Source organism: Homo sapiens, chromosome 7 (genome assembly GCF_000001405.40).
Source record: "Homo sapiens chromosome 7, GRCh38.p14 Primary Assembly".
Taxonomy (NCBI): domain Eukaryota; kingdom Metazoa; phylum Chordata; class Mammalia; order Primates; family Hominidae; genus Homo; species Homo sapiens.
This window is the reverse complement of record NC_000007.14, coordinates 115,745,012-115,764,402: the sequence shown is the minus strand read 5'-3', so window position 1 is coordinate 115,764,402 and position 19,391 is coordinate 115,745,012. Positions and strand designations below refer to the sequence as shown.

The following is a 19,391-nucleotide window of genomic DNA, read 5'->3' as shown; positions in this document are numbered from 1 at the left end:
TTTTAGCATAATTAAAAGACAAATATTTAAGGTGTTGGATACCCCAATTACACAGACTTGATCTCTGCAAATTATACAGATGTATTAAATTATCAAATGTATTCCTCAAATATGTACAACAATTATGCATCAATAAAAATATATAATTAATTTTAGAAAAAATAAATGCATTGATTAAGGCAGAATTTTTTACATTGAAGGTTTATAACTTCTGAAAGTCTTGGAAAATGTTTTGGGGTTTTCTGAGAAAGGCAACAGTGTGATTTGATCACATGGGTGATTCATTGATACTTCCTCATATAACTGTAACTCTTACTCTCTTACTTCATCTTCATTGATCCTGGTTATTCCTGTTTCATTTCTGTAGTTTTCACATCATCCCCCTGATATCACCTCACATTTTATGACCTAAAAAGACATTCTTTCTTTTAAATTCATTTCTTTCTTTTAAATTCTGACATGATTTTGTCCCCTATTTTGTGGTATGGTATCTTCAGTTATGTTATTCATTTTTAAATTTTCATTTTAGTGGAGAGTGAAAGAAACTAAATCTCTTTAGCTATATTAATTTAATATTTTCTTAACCTTCAGCTTCATTTCTTACATTTTCTCAATATCTTTTTCTAAAAAACAAAAACAAAAAATCTCCTGCTCTTACTAATGTGTTTCCTTCCTTCAAAAGTGGTAGCGCAATTCCAGGTAGCTTGGATTTGCCTTTCTACGTCATTGCTGTCTCTTCTCTCTTCTTCCCCAACTCCAGCACTCACATTCAATCGTCAACAAGAGCAGGGGTCTCCAGCCCTTGAGCCAGGGACTGGGACCTGTCCATGGCCTCTTAGGAACTCGGCCACACAGCAGGAGGTGGGCTGCTGCCAGAGAGCAAGTATTACCGCCTGAGCTCTACCTCCTGTCAGATCAGCGGGGGCATTAGATTGTCATAGGAGCACAAACCCTACTGTGAACTGCGCATGTGAGGGGTCTAGGTTGCGTGCTCCTTGTGAGAATCTAACTAATGCCTGATGATCTGAGGTGGAATGGTTTCATCCTCTCCCACTCCCCTTCCGTGGAAAAATTGTCTCTCACAAAATCGGTCTCTGGTGCCAAAAAGATGGGGAACTCCTGAGGAGAATTTCTGTCTCAGCACTAGAGTCTCACATCTCTTTTTTATTTTTCTTTTCCACTGTCATTGCCCTAGAAGAGAACCTTATTAATACCCTAGAAGATTCTTGAAATGTTTCCTAATGGGTCTTTTCAAGTGACACACACACACACACACACACACACACACACACACACAATCTAGCCAGAATTTGTTATTAAATTGTTCATCACATCGCTGAATGTCCTCTATACCAATGATTTCCAAACATAAAAAAGTAAGAAATACAATTTTTTTGTGATTTGCTGTACGTATTTATAAAAATTGGCATTTTTGCATACATCTGTCAATAGCTCTCTTGATATTATCACTGAAAAATATTTCATGAAACAATATTTGTTTTTTACTGCCTGGGATAGGCAGCTCTAATGTATTTTTTTCTACTTTATTCCTCTCTATTCTCTTCCAGTATAGATTTTTCAGCTCTCACAATTAGTGAATTCTGTACTCACAAATTTATCTAAACTCTAAAATTTTTTTGTAAGCTCCCAAATCAATACTCATGGAACTTTACAGTCATGTGTGGGTATGTTCATGCTCAGAGCAGTGAAAAACTTGAGTCACTTGACAGGCATATACCAAGGTGAGCAAGGTAACAATCTCCCTTCTTGTTTTTGTACTCTGTAAGAGTGTTTTGTACTCTCTAAGAGTGTTTTGCACTCTTGTGCTTTTTGTTGGTGATTTCGCTGTTCAATCTGGCCCCCAAGCATGGCGCTGAAGTCTAGTGTTCCTAAATTCGACAAAGCTGTGATGTCCCTTACAGAGAAAATATAGGTTGGTTACATACACTTCTTTCAGACATGACTATGGTTCTGTTGGACATGGGTCCAACATTAGTGAATGAATAATATGTGTTAAGTAAGATATCTTTAAACAGAAGCACACATAAAGGAAGGTTATGTATTGATTGGTGTAGGCCAGAGGCTCCACAGACATGAAACCTGTGTATCTCCTAGGGACAATGATTCGGTATTCACTAATTCAATGTTCAAAGGGACTTTATAGAACACAATTACTTTGAATAATAAAAACCAACTTTATTGTATTTCAGTTCTTAAAATTCTTGTCAGAACCCTCTGAAGTTATTCAGTGGGCTGACATACAATTTGCAAAGTATTGCCTCACATGAATAATTTCTCTCCAGGGTTAATACTAGGAAAAACTGTTTCTCAAGAGCAAATGGTATGTTTTCTTTTCTCTGCGTGATTTGTAACTTGTCGCTTTGTACTTTTTACCTTGCCTGCCAGGAAACTTAATGCAATTTTTATGCTCAATTACAGCAATGGTATTAACCCTCAGTGTTGTAAGGTTTGCTTTTCGGTTTTTAGCCTTAGTTTTCTCCTTTTATTTCTACTATATTATTTTTGTTTGATTTATCCTTTTTGTAAAGAGCCTTGAAACCTTTAGGGAAAATATGAGAAATGAATAAAAGAATTAATGAATAAGTAAATAATAGAAACAAGTAATCTTGGAAGAAAGATCCAGAGATAAGAAGCTGTCTTTACAGAAGAGACTTTAAAATATAACATTATTGTTGAATGCTTTGATATTATGTGTTCTCCTTATTAAGATGATTTGTTAAATGTGTAGTATGTTAAAAACGTTCCTTGTGAAGATGAAGTAAAAGGGTTCTCTGAAATGTCAGAATAATTAAATAAAGCTTAACTTATCATAACAGTGTAAGAAAATTACAGAATGTAAGTTAATGTGCAGCCTTCTAAAATCCTCTCTGCCTCTTCATTATTGCAAGTATAGTCAACAAACACTGATGATATCAGAAAAAATCCTTGATATTCTTTAGTAATGCAAAACAAATATACTATGGATAATTAAATAATTAATAATGAATATCTAATTGTAACCAATGATTTAAATTATTTAAATAATTAACTTATGCACTGCAGTTGTTCAGCCTTTCTTCCCGTATCACTATGTCTGTTCATGATGTTAATCCTAAATAATCAAGAATTGCTATACCAAATTTCAAAATAAATAAACATTTATCTACTTTCCTCACTTAATACAACTCAGTATCTTTTATGAATTAAGAGTTTCAATGAAAAAAGTAATGTATAATACATTCATTAATTCTGAAATTCTAAGATGACACAATTTGGCACAATCTAAGATTTCCCATAATTTGTTTAAAAAGTTATAATTGGTCAAACAAATGATAGAAGCACAATGTGTGAGTGTATTCACTTAACAAGTATAATATCACAATTGAGAAAATCTCTATTGGTAAAAATAATTGCCATGTTCAATATCTGCTAAAGGATACTCGTCTCCTAAGAGATCCACAATTTTAAAAGGTCTCTTGAAGATTTGAATGTTCTCAGTACAAAAAATTATAATATTTGAGATGATGGAGGTCCCAGTAACCTGTGTTTCATCATTACACATTGTATATTTGTATCAAAATAGCACATGTACCACATAAATATATACAACTATTATGTATCCATAACTAAAAATAAAAAAATTAAAAATGTAAGAGGTATCTCCAAATAAACTTTCTACAGTTTATCTCCAGTTATTTTAAAACAATGATATTGCTTCTCTATTTTACATTTAGTAAGAAATTGAGAGTCTTCAAGCCCAAGTCTACTTTCAAGCAATAAACCAAATGATAAATTCCCTTGGGGAATAGGAGATTGCATTCTGGGGAATACAAATCAATTTCAGAAAATCTGGTAAATTTTGGTTTCACGAGAACACTGTATTTTAAAAATTAGTCCATTAGTAAGCAAATAGCCAGGAGATTTTATCTGTACATTTATACATATTTTACTAAGGGGATTGTTCATCATTATGCACCTATTTTCCTACTTCTCTATATTTGTACATAAAAAATCCATCTAAAAATCACATGCATATACTATAAAATGTCTTAAGAATTAAATGTATAAATTTTGGATTAAGAAATTAGAATAGGAATTAATAAAAATTACTTAATTTCCTATTACTAGTGAATCTCATGATCTGTTCTAATGGAAAGTGTGTTCTGCGTTAGTTACCCAAAATAGTTTGTGGTTGGTAACAGCAACTTTTGATCCATACTTAGAGATCTTCCCTAAAAATTATTTACATATATTTCTATAGCTCTACAAAGGCCTTTTATATTGGAAAAGTTAATTTTACCACTGTTAGGAAGAGACAAAACATCCTTTTTTTGTAACCATTAAAATACTTATAAAAGAATATTTATAAATATAGATGACAGGAATCTACATTAATATCACTAATATATCACAAATACATCAGAATTTAAAAGCAGAAGAGTGCAGGGGTTAATCATATAGATTCTAGAGCAGCAGCTTGGATTCAAGTTCCAGTTCTGCCCTAACTATTCCTGGGATATTGGACAGGAGAGTTAATCTCTTCATGCCTATTTCCTCATTTGCAAAATAGGAATCATTGTATGATATCTACTTTGCAAGGATGCTATAAGGAGTAAATGAACAAATTATTTACAAAGTAGTAAAAAAAGAATGAGGCTCATAGGAGTAACCATACAAGTGTTTGTTTAAGTAAATAACTAGGTGAAAAGATTTTGTTTTTTTTAATTATACTTTAAGTTTTAGGGTACATGTGCACATTGTGCAGGTTAGTTACATATGTATACATGTGCCATGCTGGTGCGCTGCACCCACTAACGCGTCATCTAGCATTAGGTATATCTCCCAATGCTATCCCTCCCCCTCCCCCCACCCCACCACAGTCCCCAGAGTGTGATATTCCCCTTCCTGTGTCCATGTGATCTCATTGTTCAATTCCCACCTATGAGTGAGAATATGCGGTGTTTGGTTTTTTGTTCTTGCGATAGTTTACTGAGAATGATGCTTTCCAATTTCATCCATGTCCCTACAAAGGACATGAACTCATCATTTTTTATGGCTGCATAGTATTCCATGGTGTATATGTGCCACATTTTCTTAATCCAGTCTATCATTGACGGAGTCTCGCTCTGCCGCCCAGGCTGGAGTGCAGTGGTGCGATCTCGGCTCACTGCAAGCCCCGCCTCCCAGGTTCACGCTGTTCTCCTGCCTCAGCCTCCCGAGTAGCTGGGACTACAGTCGCCCGCCACCACGCCCGACTAATTTTTTTGTATATTTTAGTAGAACGGGGTTTCACTGTATTAGCCAGGATGGTCTCGATCTCCTGACCCCGTGATCCGCCCGCCTTGGCCTCCCAAAGTGCTGGGATTACAGTCGTGAGCCACCGCGCCTGGCCTAGGTGAGATTTATAATGCTTCAGATAAGCGATGGTTATCCCAATGTTAAAAACAAATGTATGGTATTTAAAAACTGAATTGAAACCCAGAAATCACATAGAAACAGTGGTATTATTTCTTTTAAACAGTGTTATCACTCCCCCATATATTTTTCCAGATGAAATCATATGGAGAATCCCAAAATGGAAAACAAATCCATGTTGTTAAAGAAGGGAAGAAGGCCTCGATCCCAGCCCATGGTACCTACGGTTACCTCCCAGAAACCTCTGAATCAAGCCAAGGAATCCTGAGGTTCTAATGATGAATATTTTAAAATCCGTGATTTTGATTTTAGCCTTTTTATAAATGAGGTAACTGAGCTAAGTGTTGGTAAATTTTTCACTTTCAAAATGGCACAGTTTATTAGTCTTCAGCAAACAATAAAAACTAAAGATTCTTGTCCATGTCACACTCACTTTCATGGCTGTCTTAAAGCTTAAAAGGGTTAGACTCTTACTAGGCAAGCTGAAAACATAGTTTATTCTTTTGTATCCAGATGTTCCCAATTTCTCACTTTAGAGACACGTCTTCTGACGATATTCCTACAGTTAAACGCATCTCCCTCCCAATCTATCGTTATGACACATATGAAAGAAAACTAATTTTTAGCTTACTTATTTGCTTGTCAGTTGCATAGGTTCTGTATATGCAAATCAGTTAACACTGAGTCAACACAGTGTTAAAATATGCTTGAGTGTAAATTTCACAGTGATATAGGTTGATCTATATAGCATCTAGGAAAGAGATGAACATTCAAATTATGACTTTCATCTGCACAGCATTTCTTACTGTACACATTGCCAACACAAACACACTAATCCGGCTCAAAACATTCTATTTAAGGGAATGGAGGCTTTAAAAGCTTATGAAAATTAACATAGGTAGCAAACAAGAGCCAAGATTTGAGCTGGGCTCAAATTTAGTTGAGCTCAATTTTCATATCCTTCTTAAAGTCTTTAACATTTGATGTGTGGATGTCTATTTTGATTGCTAATTATATTTTAAAAAGCTTATACACATGATTAGAGTTAAGGTAAAATATTATTTATATAGCACAGACCAATATTACAGGCTTGGAGGTAAAATGTAAACTTTAGAATACTGAGTAAGTATTTTTGGATGTAAACAGGCTGTTACATTTACCTATTTTTGGTATGTACAGATATAATGGTTGGTTTTTCTTCTTTGTGTCTTGATAAACATACAATTAAATGTATCACAAAACAACCATCTTAGGGCCAAAAAATACATGGAGGCTGTTATAACTATTTCTCATATTTAAAATTAGGTGAAATATTTAGTGATATAATTAGTTTATAATTATCTGAATTTCTGAAGCTGGAAAAAATATGCCAGTTGGACCATTGACTCATCTGTTACATTATATGGAAATAAGTCTTGATCTGGGGTTGTGAATAAGGTTAAAGAACATAGCATCATATCTACAAGCTACTAGCCTCTGTGTGGTCATAAAAATTTGGCTCAATACTGCTTTTCAAATAGAGTAAAGTGACATGAAAAGAAATGTGTACCATCAGCTGCTTTTCCTTTAATAGGATTCTCTGTTGTGCAAATCACTGCAGTGGAATGATGCAGTGGGGCATAAGGACAATGAATCAGGTAATAAATTGAGTGTAACACTAATTATATTCACTATAAACCAAAATATATACATTTGATGGCCATGATGGCACATCAATGTTCAAAGTCCAAGGTGAAAAATGCATTACAACTTCTCTCTCTATAAAAACTCAACAGTCTGCTGCAGTCTGTCTGGTATCAAATTCTATATATCTATCTGTGTTTTCAGCATAGAAACCCAACTCCTAAAGGAAAGGTCATTATCATTATTAAGTTTTATAAGAAAATCAGTACGTACCAGTGTCTATTTAATAACGGAGACATCATGAATGTCAGACTTAACACACTTTGCAGAGTGCTAATTCTTAAAGTATATCCTTGTCTCAAGTTGAAGTCAGTATTGGAAATTTTATATTACCTGTTCTGCCTGAAACATTGAAAAGTATTTCTGTAATAGCTAGGTTAAAAAAATAGTGACTTTTTATAACTTTGTCTAATTTTTATTTCAATTTCAAAGCTGATAATAGCGAAAAGTCATACGACATTGACATTGGCCTGAGTTAAGCAAGAGGATAATTTTAACCACTACATTTTATGTTATCTTCAGGTTGAAATAAGTCATTCATGTGTGCTGCTGTTTGCACAGATCTGTAAGGTACATATGTTTTATATACATTATTAGCTACATTAAAAATGGTTTTCTCCTCACATTTCTTGCAGTTCCAGAATTGCATAGATATAAGATATGCATTTATTCAGAAACTAAACAAAAAAACTTTAGTATTCCTTCATTACAATGACCCTAATTCAAGTCCAGTGATAGACTGGAAAAGGTTGTTTCTTTTTCTATTATATATTTAAATTAAAAATAGGAAGATGTAGTTTCTACTAATGAGTTTTGTAGGGCTGTTTTAATATGATGTCCCTTAGGAGATTTCCTCACTCGGTGTGAAGGCTCCTAAGAGGTGCTTGTGCACCTGATTAATTCATAAATGGCACTGAGGGCTGCACATTTGCCCAATCCTAGTTAAATCATAGTAGGCAGCTATTCCTCTGTAGGATGCATTGCAAATTGTGATGCTCTTATTATACACCTAATTACAGCATTCTGCACCAGTCTGATTCTTTCCATAAATTTTTGTAAATGTGATGGCCATTTTAGAAGACAGAGATTGAGATTCACTAAAATGTCTTCAGTCTATAGGATTGCAATGCAACAATCACCTCTGATTCAAAGGAAAATTGTTCCAAAGTTCTAGGAAAAATATATATGTAAAATATGAAGAAATTAAAATACAATGAATTTTAAAATTAATTTGTTTTATAATTAATAATTAAACAGCTATCATGGAACTATAAGAGAAAAATATGAAAAAAGTTTGAATGGATAGCTGTAGCAGTTTTGTGGTGAGTACGAGTTTAAAAAATGTTTGTGTTTAGGAGTAAGGTACTTAACCATAGGTACTTCTATGGCTCATGGGGAATATTAATCCAACTTACTTTACTGAGTGTGAGAATTCATTGATTTTATGTATGCAAACTGCTTAGAACAGTGTCTGACACATATAAGTTCTATGTAAGCTCTTGTGTAGAGTCTTTTTGTTTTTGAAAGCTCTACCCAGTCTAACTCTCACCTAACATATATAGTTTTCCACTCTTTTGCTTTAGCTCAAACTAGTATTGAGCTACTGCTTTCTCCTACTATCCTTTGATGTTAATATTATTATTTTTAACGTTGTTCTAGCTGGGAGGTGGGGAGTTTTTTAAAAAAAATTAGGTAAGATGGGTTAGAGTTTCATTGATACAAATGTGAACAGGTAGTATACTTTTTTCCTAAATTTATAGCTGAAAAAAAATGGCCCAGTGTATACCTAGCATGTACTTCAAATTACTTGACTTCGAATATGCCTTTTATAATTTCTATTATATAAATCAATAGTGTTTATTAAAAATAACATATGTTGGCATATATAAGATAAATGTTCAAGTATCTTCTGAATCCCATCATCAACTCTGGGGACACCCAAGTTCTGTCTTCATAAGCTGGAAAACTTACACTAAACTGAATCTGTCATTCAACTCAGTCAACTAACAAATCAGTTTTATTATTATTATTTACCTGTTCCTTTTACCTAGATATCAGGTTCAGAACTATTTGAACCTGATGGCTAGTCCTTCAATATGTTCCTTTTATTCAGAAGCTCAAAGATGTCAAGTATATTGTATTTTTTAAAAAGTGAAAGGAGTATGTATATTATTATTGTATTAAATAAAACAAAGAAAATTGAAGCTCGGACAAGTTAAAAGGCTTATCACAGGTTTGACTAGTTAATGATATGGATAGAACACAGTACTTGCGATTCATGGACATTTTTTCTTCAGTTCTACATTTTATCATGAAGCACAAAATGACAGAAAAAAGGAACTATGAAAAAGCAAAAATATAAATATGAAAACACTTTTTTTCTGTTAATTCACCAATTACATAGTCACCTAGAATTTGAAACTTTTGAATGACCTTTCCCTCAGAGACAGCTGAATTGTTTCAAATAAGCTAAATGGACAAACAAACAAATAAACTCAGCCATACTGTGCTGACTTATATGGTCTAATGAGTATAATAGGAAATTTTTTTAAAAATTCTAGATAATGGTGATTTACATTTCATAACTCAGAGTTTTTCATTTATAAAATTATCTAGTTTATAAAAGACAATTGCCATTTAAAAATGCATTGAACGTACGTCACTTGGCCATCTTTTTTATTTTTATTTTTTTAATATTTCAGATCAGGGCATAAAGAAACTTCATCACTCAGTAAAGCTGTTCTGACCCCAGCCAAAACAAGGTAAAGAATTAAGTGGCTACATGTGTTAGTAGGATAAAATTGCCATTAATGTTGAATACACAGAATGATGCTCTGATCTCTTATTGGACAAAGAAGTGCATTGTATTTAGGATAAACAACATACTCGAGATAGTAGTCCATTGTGTGTATGGAGGCAGTGGTGATCATATTGACAGGGAGACTGGTAGGAAATGAATCCTACTATACCTTATTAAAGGGAAAAGAAAAGGTGTTTCTGTTGATATTCTACGCATCCCATTCACTAGTTATAGTAGAATGATATCTTGCTTAACTTTAGGTTAATGGTATCTAGTATTAACCTGAGAAATTGACTAATATTCAGAGTCAGTATAAACATAATTATAAAAAAATCAAGTGAGTCTAAACCAATATAATTATAAAATAAAAAGTACTTGTTTACTTCTCAAAAAATTTAAGGTGGTAGGATATGCAGGACATGAGTGAAACACAGCACTGCTTTATAAGGTTACCAAAATCTTTATAAATATTTTAGTTATTTTATTTATTTTTTAAAACAGGGTCTTACTCTTTCTAAAAATAAAAAAAATAAAACATTTATTTTATGGAATACAGAGGTGTTATCATGGCTCACTGCAACCTCAGTCTCCCGGGTTCAAGCAAGCCTCCCAAGTAGTTGGGACTACAGGCATGCATCAACACACCCAGTTAACGATTTTTGTTTTTATTGTTTATTTTTGTAGAGACAGAGTCTCACTTTGTTGCCCAGGCTGGTCTCAAGTTTTTGGCCTCAAATGATTCCCCTGCCTCAGCCTTCAAAGTGCTGGAATTATAGGTGTGAGCCACCACACCCAGCCTTTATAAATATTACTCATAAATTTTATTTCTAAAACTCACATTGCCTTCACGAAGACTGAGGATATGATGTATTAGATCTTAACTTCATCCGCTTATGAGTACCTACACCTCCTCAAGATGACACTACAGACTTGTTTTTTCTTTTTTTGATGGGTGGTGGATAGAAGGGGTGATTCTGTGTATGACATACTTAGTAATGGTTAGAACTAGAGATTCTAACAAATAACTAAAGCATGATTTTTTAAAAGCTTATCAAGTTATATAAAAAGTCATTTTTAAAAAACAAAAGTCATTCTTAGAACTGGAATTAATAAAATAAAAAAATTTCTTTGAGATAGTATAAAGCTTCCAGTGGATTCAGAATGTTTTTCCAAAATTAAGACAGATTTTCTACTAGTACAGTTATGTGCCACATAACGATGTTTTGATCAATAATGGGCTGCATATACTATGGTGGTCCCATAAGATGATCATACTGTATTTTTACTATAGCTTTTCTATGTTTAGGTATGTTTAGGTACATAAATGCTTACATTGTGTTATAGTACCATATTCAGCACTGTAACATGCCGTTCAGGTTTCTAGCATAGAAACAATAAATTATACCATATAGCCTAGGTATGTAGTAGGTTATACCATCCAGGTTTGTGCAAGTACACTCTTTGATGTTCATATAATGATGAAATAGCCTAACCAGGCATCTCTCAAAATGTAGCCCTATGGTTAAGCAACACATGACTGTATTTGAATTACAGTAAATACAGTATTAAATTTACAGTATTTACAGTATTAAAATTAATTTTATCTGTTTGTTTTCACTTTTTTAAATTTATTTTTTACTTTTTTAGCTTGGCCATAGGTAGCCATACAGTGTATACAAGGGAGGTATATGAAAGTTTCTAGGCCTCTCATGAGATGGAGAAGGGCCATAGAATAAGCTGTGTAGGACAATGAACCTGAAGGGATTTGGGTTTAGGATTTAAAGAAAAGAGAATTCACGACCCTGGTGACTGGTGGGCATGAATGCAGTAGGATTTGGGTGTCAATAATGTATACCTTTATGGGAATTGTGCAACTCAGAGTAGGTCAGATGCAAGGGGCAAGATAACTTCTCCCAGCCTTCCTGAATCACTTAAGGAGAGAAAGGATGAAACATCAGAAAAGGCAATATTTTGAAAGGGCAAATTTAAACTGAAAGCGACTGAGGATACCTTAATACAGCAGGATTCTGTAAAAATGGAGGGTCATGAGCTCTGTTAAGATATACAGAAATAAAGACATATAATTTTGCACATCTGAGGTTGTGACTATAAATCACACTTTGCATATGACATAAAAATTTAAAGAAATGATTAAGGAATGTTTTAACTCTCAAAATATCTTGGCTTAACTTTTAACGTATTCATTGCAGAAGAAGATTACCCTATCAGAACCTGTTATTTATTCTATAAAATTAAAACAAATAAGATAATTTTTTGATTAATGTCCAACTCAAGGTTTTTAATCCAAATAATATTTATTATGAATAAATGAAGAAACAGAGTCAATTAAAGCTTTGCAATCTGAAATCACAGAAATCATTCACAGCAAGGACTATGAACCTTGAACTTAGCAGTGTCTGGCAACAATAAGTGGGAATAAATGTTGTGATTGTCCTTACTGTCATCATCTCTCACCTCTAACCACCTTAGGAAGGAAGCAGAATATGTAGAGGTAGCCTCCTTGGTCTCATACATATGCCACTTAACGATAATGTTGTAGAAGGACTTGGAAGCAGGGTGTGAGAGGGAAGTTTAACTTGCCAGGTGATCTCTTATATGGGAGCTACTGATTCTCTTGTTGCTTGCTGACCCTAGAGCTACAGCACAGCCCTCATGCTATGATGGTAAGGAAGGGAAGGGACAACTCAAAGACACACATTTGAATCAGTTTTCAGTTGTATGAAGCCTTACATGCCTTCAACTTACCTAGTAATAAAGCCAACCTGTTACTTCTATTTACAATCATGGTTAAAAACTATTAGCATAAAGATAAATTTCATGGGCAAGAGGATTACAGAAATATCTCCATTCCTTCCCCAAACAACTAAGTTTCTGTCTGTTTCGACTGATGTTTATACAAGTGTTTGTGTGTCAATTTACCATCCTAAATATTATCTAATAGCTCTACTGAACTTTAGATAGAATACTACGGTAAAAATCTACTATATTAAAAATATTTGCATACAGCATTCCCCTACCCTGAAAATTTATGAATTTTTAATAAAATAGCTTAGATTTTATAGCCCACAGTTACAATTGTTCATAATCCTGGAATATTATTTAAAGGGAATTGAAATTATATGAAAACACTTAAGAGCAGAATTATATTTTCAGCTTTCTCGTTACTTTTTATATGTTAATTATTAATTTTACCATAATAAATGAAAAAAATGGTTAAGGTGAAAACTATAAGTAGCTATGTAAATGTATTTGTAAATTAACATGTTTACAAATGTATCCTGATAACTCAAGGTTTGTTTTTTTTAAAAAACTGTAATAATATGCATGTTGTTCTAGCACTATGACTTATAAATAGTTGTTTTAAGACAAAACAGCAACAAGAAGAATACTATGTAATTGTAATAAATTAGTAATAAATGGTGATAACAGCTAGGTCTCAAATCAGCAAAGTACATTTAGCTTCATGTACCAAAAAGTAATAAGTTTATGCATTTAAAAAACATTAAATGAAAAATAAAGTTTTTGAAATTTATTTTGGATTCTTTTCTAAAATGGGTAATTCAAACAATCTTTCCTCAATCTTTTTTTCTCTTGTGTGGCAAACGCATTCCTGACTATTCCTTTTAATTTTTTTTGTTTTTTTTTTTCAGCTGAATTTAACTTTATGCTGGGTATACAAAAATCAACAAAAGGCATTAGCTGTCCTGAAGTGTTTCACAATGAATAAGAAATATTATTTGATTACTTATTTTTATCTTCCCCAAATTGTAACAAATAATTTAAAGTAGCTTTTAAAAGATACATTATAATGGTATAACACAACTAAGAAATATGTAGGAATGATGAGAGGGAGAATAACAAGGATAATATAATATGTACATTATAATAGTATAATATAAGTAAACAATACATAAGGATGATGAAGGGGAGAATAAACAAGGATAATAAAATATAATTGGAAATACAAGCACATTAAAGACTTTCAGTGAACTCCTAAATTCTTTCAGTGAGATGTGTGTAAATAAATAAATATAATGTGTGATTAAGTAGCAATTGTAAAAAGTATGAATAGTAAACAGTACAAAGTTGAACTGTCAGAGTAAAGGGGATGAAGTGAATAACTCTGTAGCTAATTTTTGGGAGGTTTTACCTAAATCAATGTGATGTCCTAGAAGAGAGGATATCCAATTTCACTTTTGAAGGAATAAAGGAAGGAAGAGAAAGCACACTGAAGTAGAGGGATGGGATAATACATGCCGGATTGTGTGAGCATGAGGCATAGTATAGGACTGAGTAGCATATTTGAGAAGTCAAATGCTGGGTCTTAAAACAGAAGAAGAAACAGGCTGAGAGGTGAACATGGCAGCCGGCCAGATCTACAGTGCTTAAGTGTTTGTATTCGAAAAGTGTGGTGAAAGAAGCATCTCAAGGGCCCTGGTTTAAGGCGATGGCTTGGTTGAATGATTGTGAGGAGAAGGTGCTGTGAATCCATTATTGTTATTTTCAAGTTTTTATTATAAACGTTCAAACATATAAAGAGCGGAGAAAATTGTGAGCCTCCATGTAGTCACCCCCTTGATATTCAGGGCAAAGCTATTTCATCTATATTTTCACCCACCACTCCTTGTCTCACTCTAGCACTACCACTGGAATATTTTAAAGCAAATTCCAGACATTATATAATCAGAAAAAATAAGGACTTATAAAAACATAATGGGAAAACATAAAAAATAAACAATAATTCCTTAAGATCCTCTAACATCTAGTTAATGTTAAAACTTTTCCCATTAGTTATCCAAAAATTTGTAAAGACAATGTATTAAGGGCACATTTTGTTTTGCTCCAGTTATATCTGTGTATTTCACATAAAATTATATGTTTTTGGCCAAAATAATGAGAAAACATAAATGGATGTTTCAAGTGATAGTGACTTATAATGAAAATCTTGGACTATTTAAATTCTAGGATACAGGATTCAGTTAACAGCTAGGCTGAGAGGAACTATTACAGAATGAGTATCATCTGAACTTTTGTAAATGGAGAAAAGGTGATAGAACATTTCATTCATGAATGAATGAAAATGAATTTTGTAAATAATTTTATTACTTAGTGGAGAGCTAGAAATTGCTGGGATAGCCCCTATACCTATTTAGGAAAATAATTTCTGTAGCTGTAGCAAACAGATGAAATAGTTACTAAAATCAGTAAAAGTGAAGAAAGCAAAGGAACATAAACCAGACAAAATTATATTTCCAGGCCTAAATTTTTAAGCATTCTGTATATTGTCATTTGTTAAATCAGAAATAGGCATACACAGAGCTACAATTCAACATGCTTTTGTCTCTAACATAAATAAAGTTTGGGGCACTGCTCTGCAAATCAACCAGACTGGACCATGAGTTAGACATATACACATATCTGTATATATATATATGTATGTATAAAGAGGTGTCAGAGACTAATTGGAAAGTTATAGTTGGGCATGAATACATGTTAGAAATCTTAAAGTACAAAATGGTGAGAAGAATTAGGCTAGAAAAAACAGACTATTCTTTTACAGAAAATGCACAATGCTACAGGATAAAATTGCATTGTGCATAGATACATCACAAAACTCATTTGCTATTTATAATATTTATATCAGAATTCATAAATGATCTTATATGAGCTTCAATAGGTCTGCAAATGATTCCCTAACTTACAAGTTAAAGTGCTTATTATGCAGGAACAGATGAAAAAATGTAATAAAACTGCACACGGAACAAAGTCTGAGTCAATATATAGTTTAATTGCAACAGAAAATGTTTTTGACTATCATTGTTGCACCAACTAACTCGCCAATAATTTTTTCCTATATTAAAGGTAAAAAATAGTCTTTAAAGTGTACATTTTAAAGATTTTTCAACTTAAACAGGTTTGTTGGGCAAAAAAGTTATTTAGTAATCAAGAATGTGAAATCCTGCTTTTGAAATTATTCATCAAAACATATATGCACAAATTTCTTTATCAAAGAATGAAAAGAAATCTAAGCTCATCGATAAATCAACGTGTGCAAGTCATTGGCAACTATAGAGTCTTTGATTTTATTCTACAATGGCCAGCAGCGCTATGCACAGAGTAAACAATTGTTCCCAACTTCAGAAGCCTGCAGAGGTCAGTATAGCAACAGCAAGAAGACATCAGGTAGATGAGTTGATCAATACTGAAGGTGGACAGTTAGATTACATGATTATTATTCATACATACCAGCATCTTAAACATTAAAATAAAATTGGTAATAATTAGGATAGAATACTCTTTGTTTTGAGTAATTTGTCTTTATAAAATTTACATTTAAAGAAAATCAACATTTGGAAAATTATTCTGCTTTAAAAAGGTCGGGGTGGGGGAGACAGAATAAAAATTAAATTTAAAATAAAAGTAATTACCATTTTAAATAAAAATAAATGTACTTTATATATGCTGATGGATTTGAAAAATGTTCTGTTCTTTTGAACTGGGGATTGCATTCTTCACTCTTGATTCGCCATCTCCTGACACCTGTCAATAAAGCCCATTATTAACCTTGGCAAAGCTGAGATATTTTGACATTGGTATGTAAGTGAAACTTTTCTTATTTTACTAATATTCCATAAAATTCAAAGTAAAAATAATTCCAAATGAAACAATAGTTTTCAGGTACAATTTTCTATGCACACACTGAGAATATGTATTTTAAACCTGAACATGTAAATGTGCACAAATGTATACGTATACATTTATATTTCTGTTATTACAAAAACATTTTTACCATTTTGCTTTTGTGAAGATGAAAAATTGACAGGCTTTTGAAACTGCACTCTGTTGTCCAGAAACTGGCTTCTCCATGATGACCTACCAGTGACCTTTGTCATGACACTGAAGGACTACCCTCTCCAGGGGTAAGAAGTAATTCAACTTCAATAGTTCCCCTGCTCTAGACATGTATAAAACAGACAGTATAAACATATACCGTAGGTTTATTTTGGCTCCAGTTAAGCTGACACCATCAAACTCATTTAGTTTAGAACTTTCAGACGTGGTTTCAGTATCAGCTCTCTGCTGTAATTCAGAAGGTTAAAGAAAAGCTAGCTAAAACCTACACTGGCCTTCTGCTGGGACAGCAGTTTGAAGCAAGTTCCTCATACTTTTAATGCCACAAGCACCACTGTTTTTCTGATGTGTGCCTTAATGACAGTATACAGACGGGCAAAGTCAAAAGAGTTTTCAGTTTCAGAATATACGTAGGTAGAAAGCCAGATGAAAAAGGGAAGATTTTGAAAAAAGTTATCTATTTACTTTTTACAATTTAAACATTACTTTTCCCTAAATGCTCATCGGTAGGCAAATGTGCAGAAAAAGTCAAGGAAGTACACATACAAACAATAAATTTTTACTGTTCAAAATTAAATGTGTTCTATTTTTTTGCTTTTATATTTCTTGCAGTTTTTACCTAAAATTTAAAAATTCCTGAACATCTCAGCTTTCTTTTAATATGCCACATTCTCTAATTAATGTCACTACAATGGACCCTTTGAAGCCTATGAAGTAGGCAAAAATAAATAACCTTACAGTGGATAAAAAAATAAATTTAATAATACTAATTAAAAGCCAGATATGACATTCTATATCCTACAAATCATTGAATTTATATAAACTGATTATTATTAGGCCGCTAAGAAAACCTAAGAAAACTCAAAATACAGAAGTCATTTAGGATGTTACTTTACCACGATGCATAAAATAAAAAATTAATAGCAAAGTACAAGTTTAATGAGTCACTTGTAATTTTTTTTTAAAAAACTCACCTAAATAATGCAAAGATCAAAGGGAATGTCAAACTTAAAATTATTAATTTTAAAAATGGCAATAACTGGATGACTACAAAACAAAATTTATGACACGCATCCAAAACTACAAAAATTTAGAGATGCAAATGCTTAAGTTTAAGAATAAGTAAAAATACTAATTCAAAGAGTTGGACAAAGAAAAATAACTGGAGTTTTAAAAAAGGAAAAAGTAATAAAATTTTGAAAATTGAAAATGGCAAAATTAACAAGTCACACGAAGATAATGTTGTTTAGAGAAAACTAAGCTATCTGATAAACATCCCAAAGATGACAAATTAACCCCTGTAATTTGTCAATATATGGCAAAGTGACTTATTGGCAAAAATGATTTCGGAGGCGTGATCATGGACTATCCAAGTGGGCTCAGTGTAATCACAGGGTTCCTAATAAGAGGGGGACAGTAGAGTCTGAGGCAGAAAAGATGATATAAGGAGTGAAGCAAAGGTCAAAGAGGAGAGAAGATGTATGCTGCTGGTTTTGAAGATGGAGGAAGCAGCTATGAGCCAAGGAGTAGGGAACCATCCTGGGGATGGAAAAGGAGAGGAAATTGATCTCCTCCAGAACCTCCAAAAGGAACACAGGCCTCTGGATACATTTTAGACCTGTGACATAATTATACACATATAGATATATAAAATAATTTATATATTATATGTAATAAAATATAACACGGTATGTAATTCATATTAAGTTATATTGTTATATATATAGTAAAATTGTTGCATAATAAAATTGTGTTGCTTTAAGCCACTAAACTTTTAGCAATTTGTTAGAGTGGCAATAGGATACTAATACAGCTAATAAGGGAAAGGAAAAAAATCATAAGAATTTAAAATAAGGTTGAACATCAAACAATATGTATGAATGTTGATGAAATTAGTAGATTAGTAAATGATTCAATGCTAATCACTTCGAAAATCTGAAAACAAAACAAAACAAAACAAGAATCTCCTGAAATGATACAAAAATCTGGGTAGGAAAGTATGCAAAAATATATGGTACACTTTTACTTCTAAATCTAGATACAAACATTACAAAATCAATTCAGAGTAAATACAAAAACAAACTAAAAGAGTCTACTATGATCTATTAACATTTTAAGCCCCATAATAATCTCATGAGAAAAATAACTTTTCAATCCTCATTTTATAGGTGAAGAAAGTGAAATAATAGGCCAAATATACATGGCTAATAACTTTTAGAACAAGTATGTAAACACAAAGAGTTTGATTTTAATGTTTATGCTTTGACATTTTTATTCCAGAAATGCAAGGATGGATCAAAATAGACAAATCAATTTTGGTAAATCATTAAATCAATCAATAATTAAAAAATAAACATCTTCATTTTGTTGTATTTCAAAAACAATTTTGATGAAATCCAATATCCCTTTCTAAAGCAAATTGGTACAAACTAAGAAGAAAAAAAAACAGTATTGTAAAGAAGACTTATTCCAACAATAACCAGCATGTTACCGGACTTTAAAACATTGAAAATATTTCTGTTAAAATTTGAAACAAGAATAAGATATGGATTTCTATTTATCACTGTTATTCAGTATCATTCTTAAATTTCTAGAGAATGCAATAAAGGAAGAAAAAATG

General features: G+C 32.5%; 1 long non-coding RNA gene across 1 annotated transcript; it reads left to right on the top strand.

Moving 5' to 3' along the window:
* Positions 1–5,466: 5,466 nt before the first annotated feature.
* Positions 5,467–7,668, top strand: LOC105375462 (uncharacterized). Its single transcript, XR_927886.2, has 3 exons — positions 5,467–5,743; positions 6,989–7,052; positions 7,621–7,668. It is a non-coding gene; the product is annotated as an uncharacterized LOC105375462 (long non-coding RNA).
* The last annotated feature ends 11,723 nt before the right edge of the window (positions 7,669–19,391 follow it).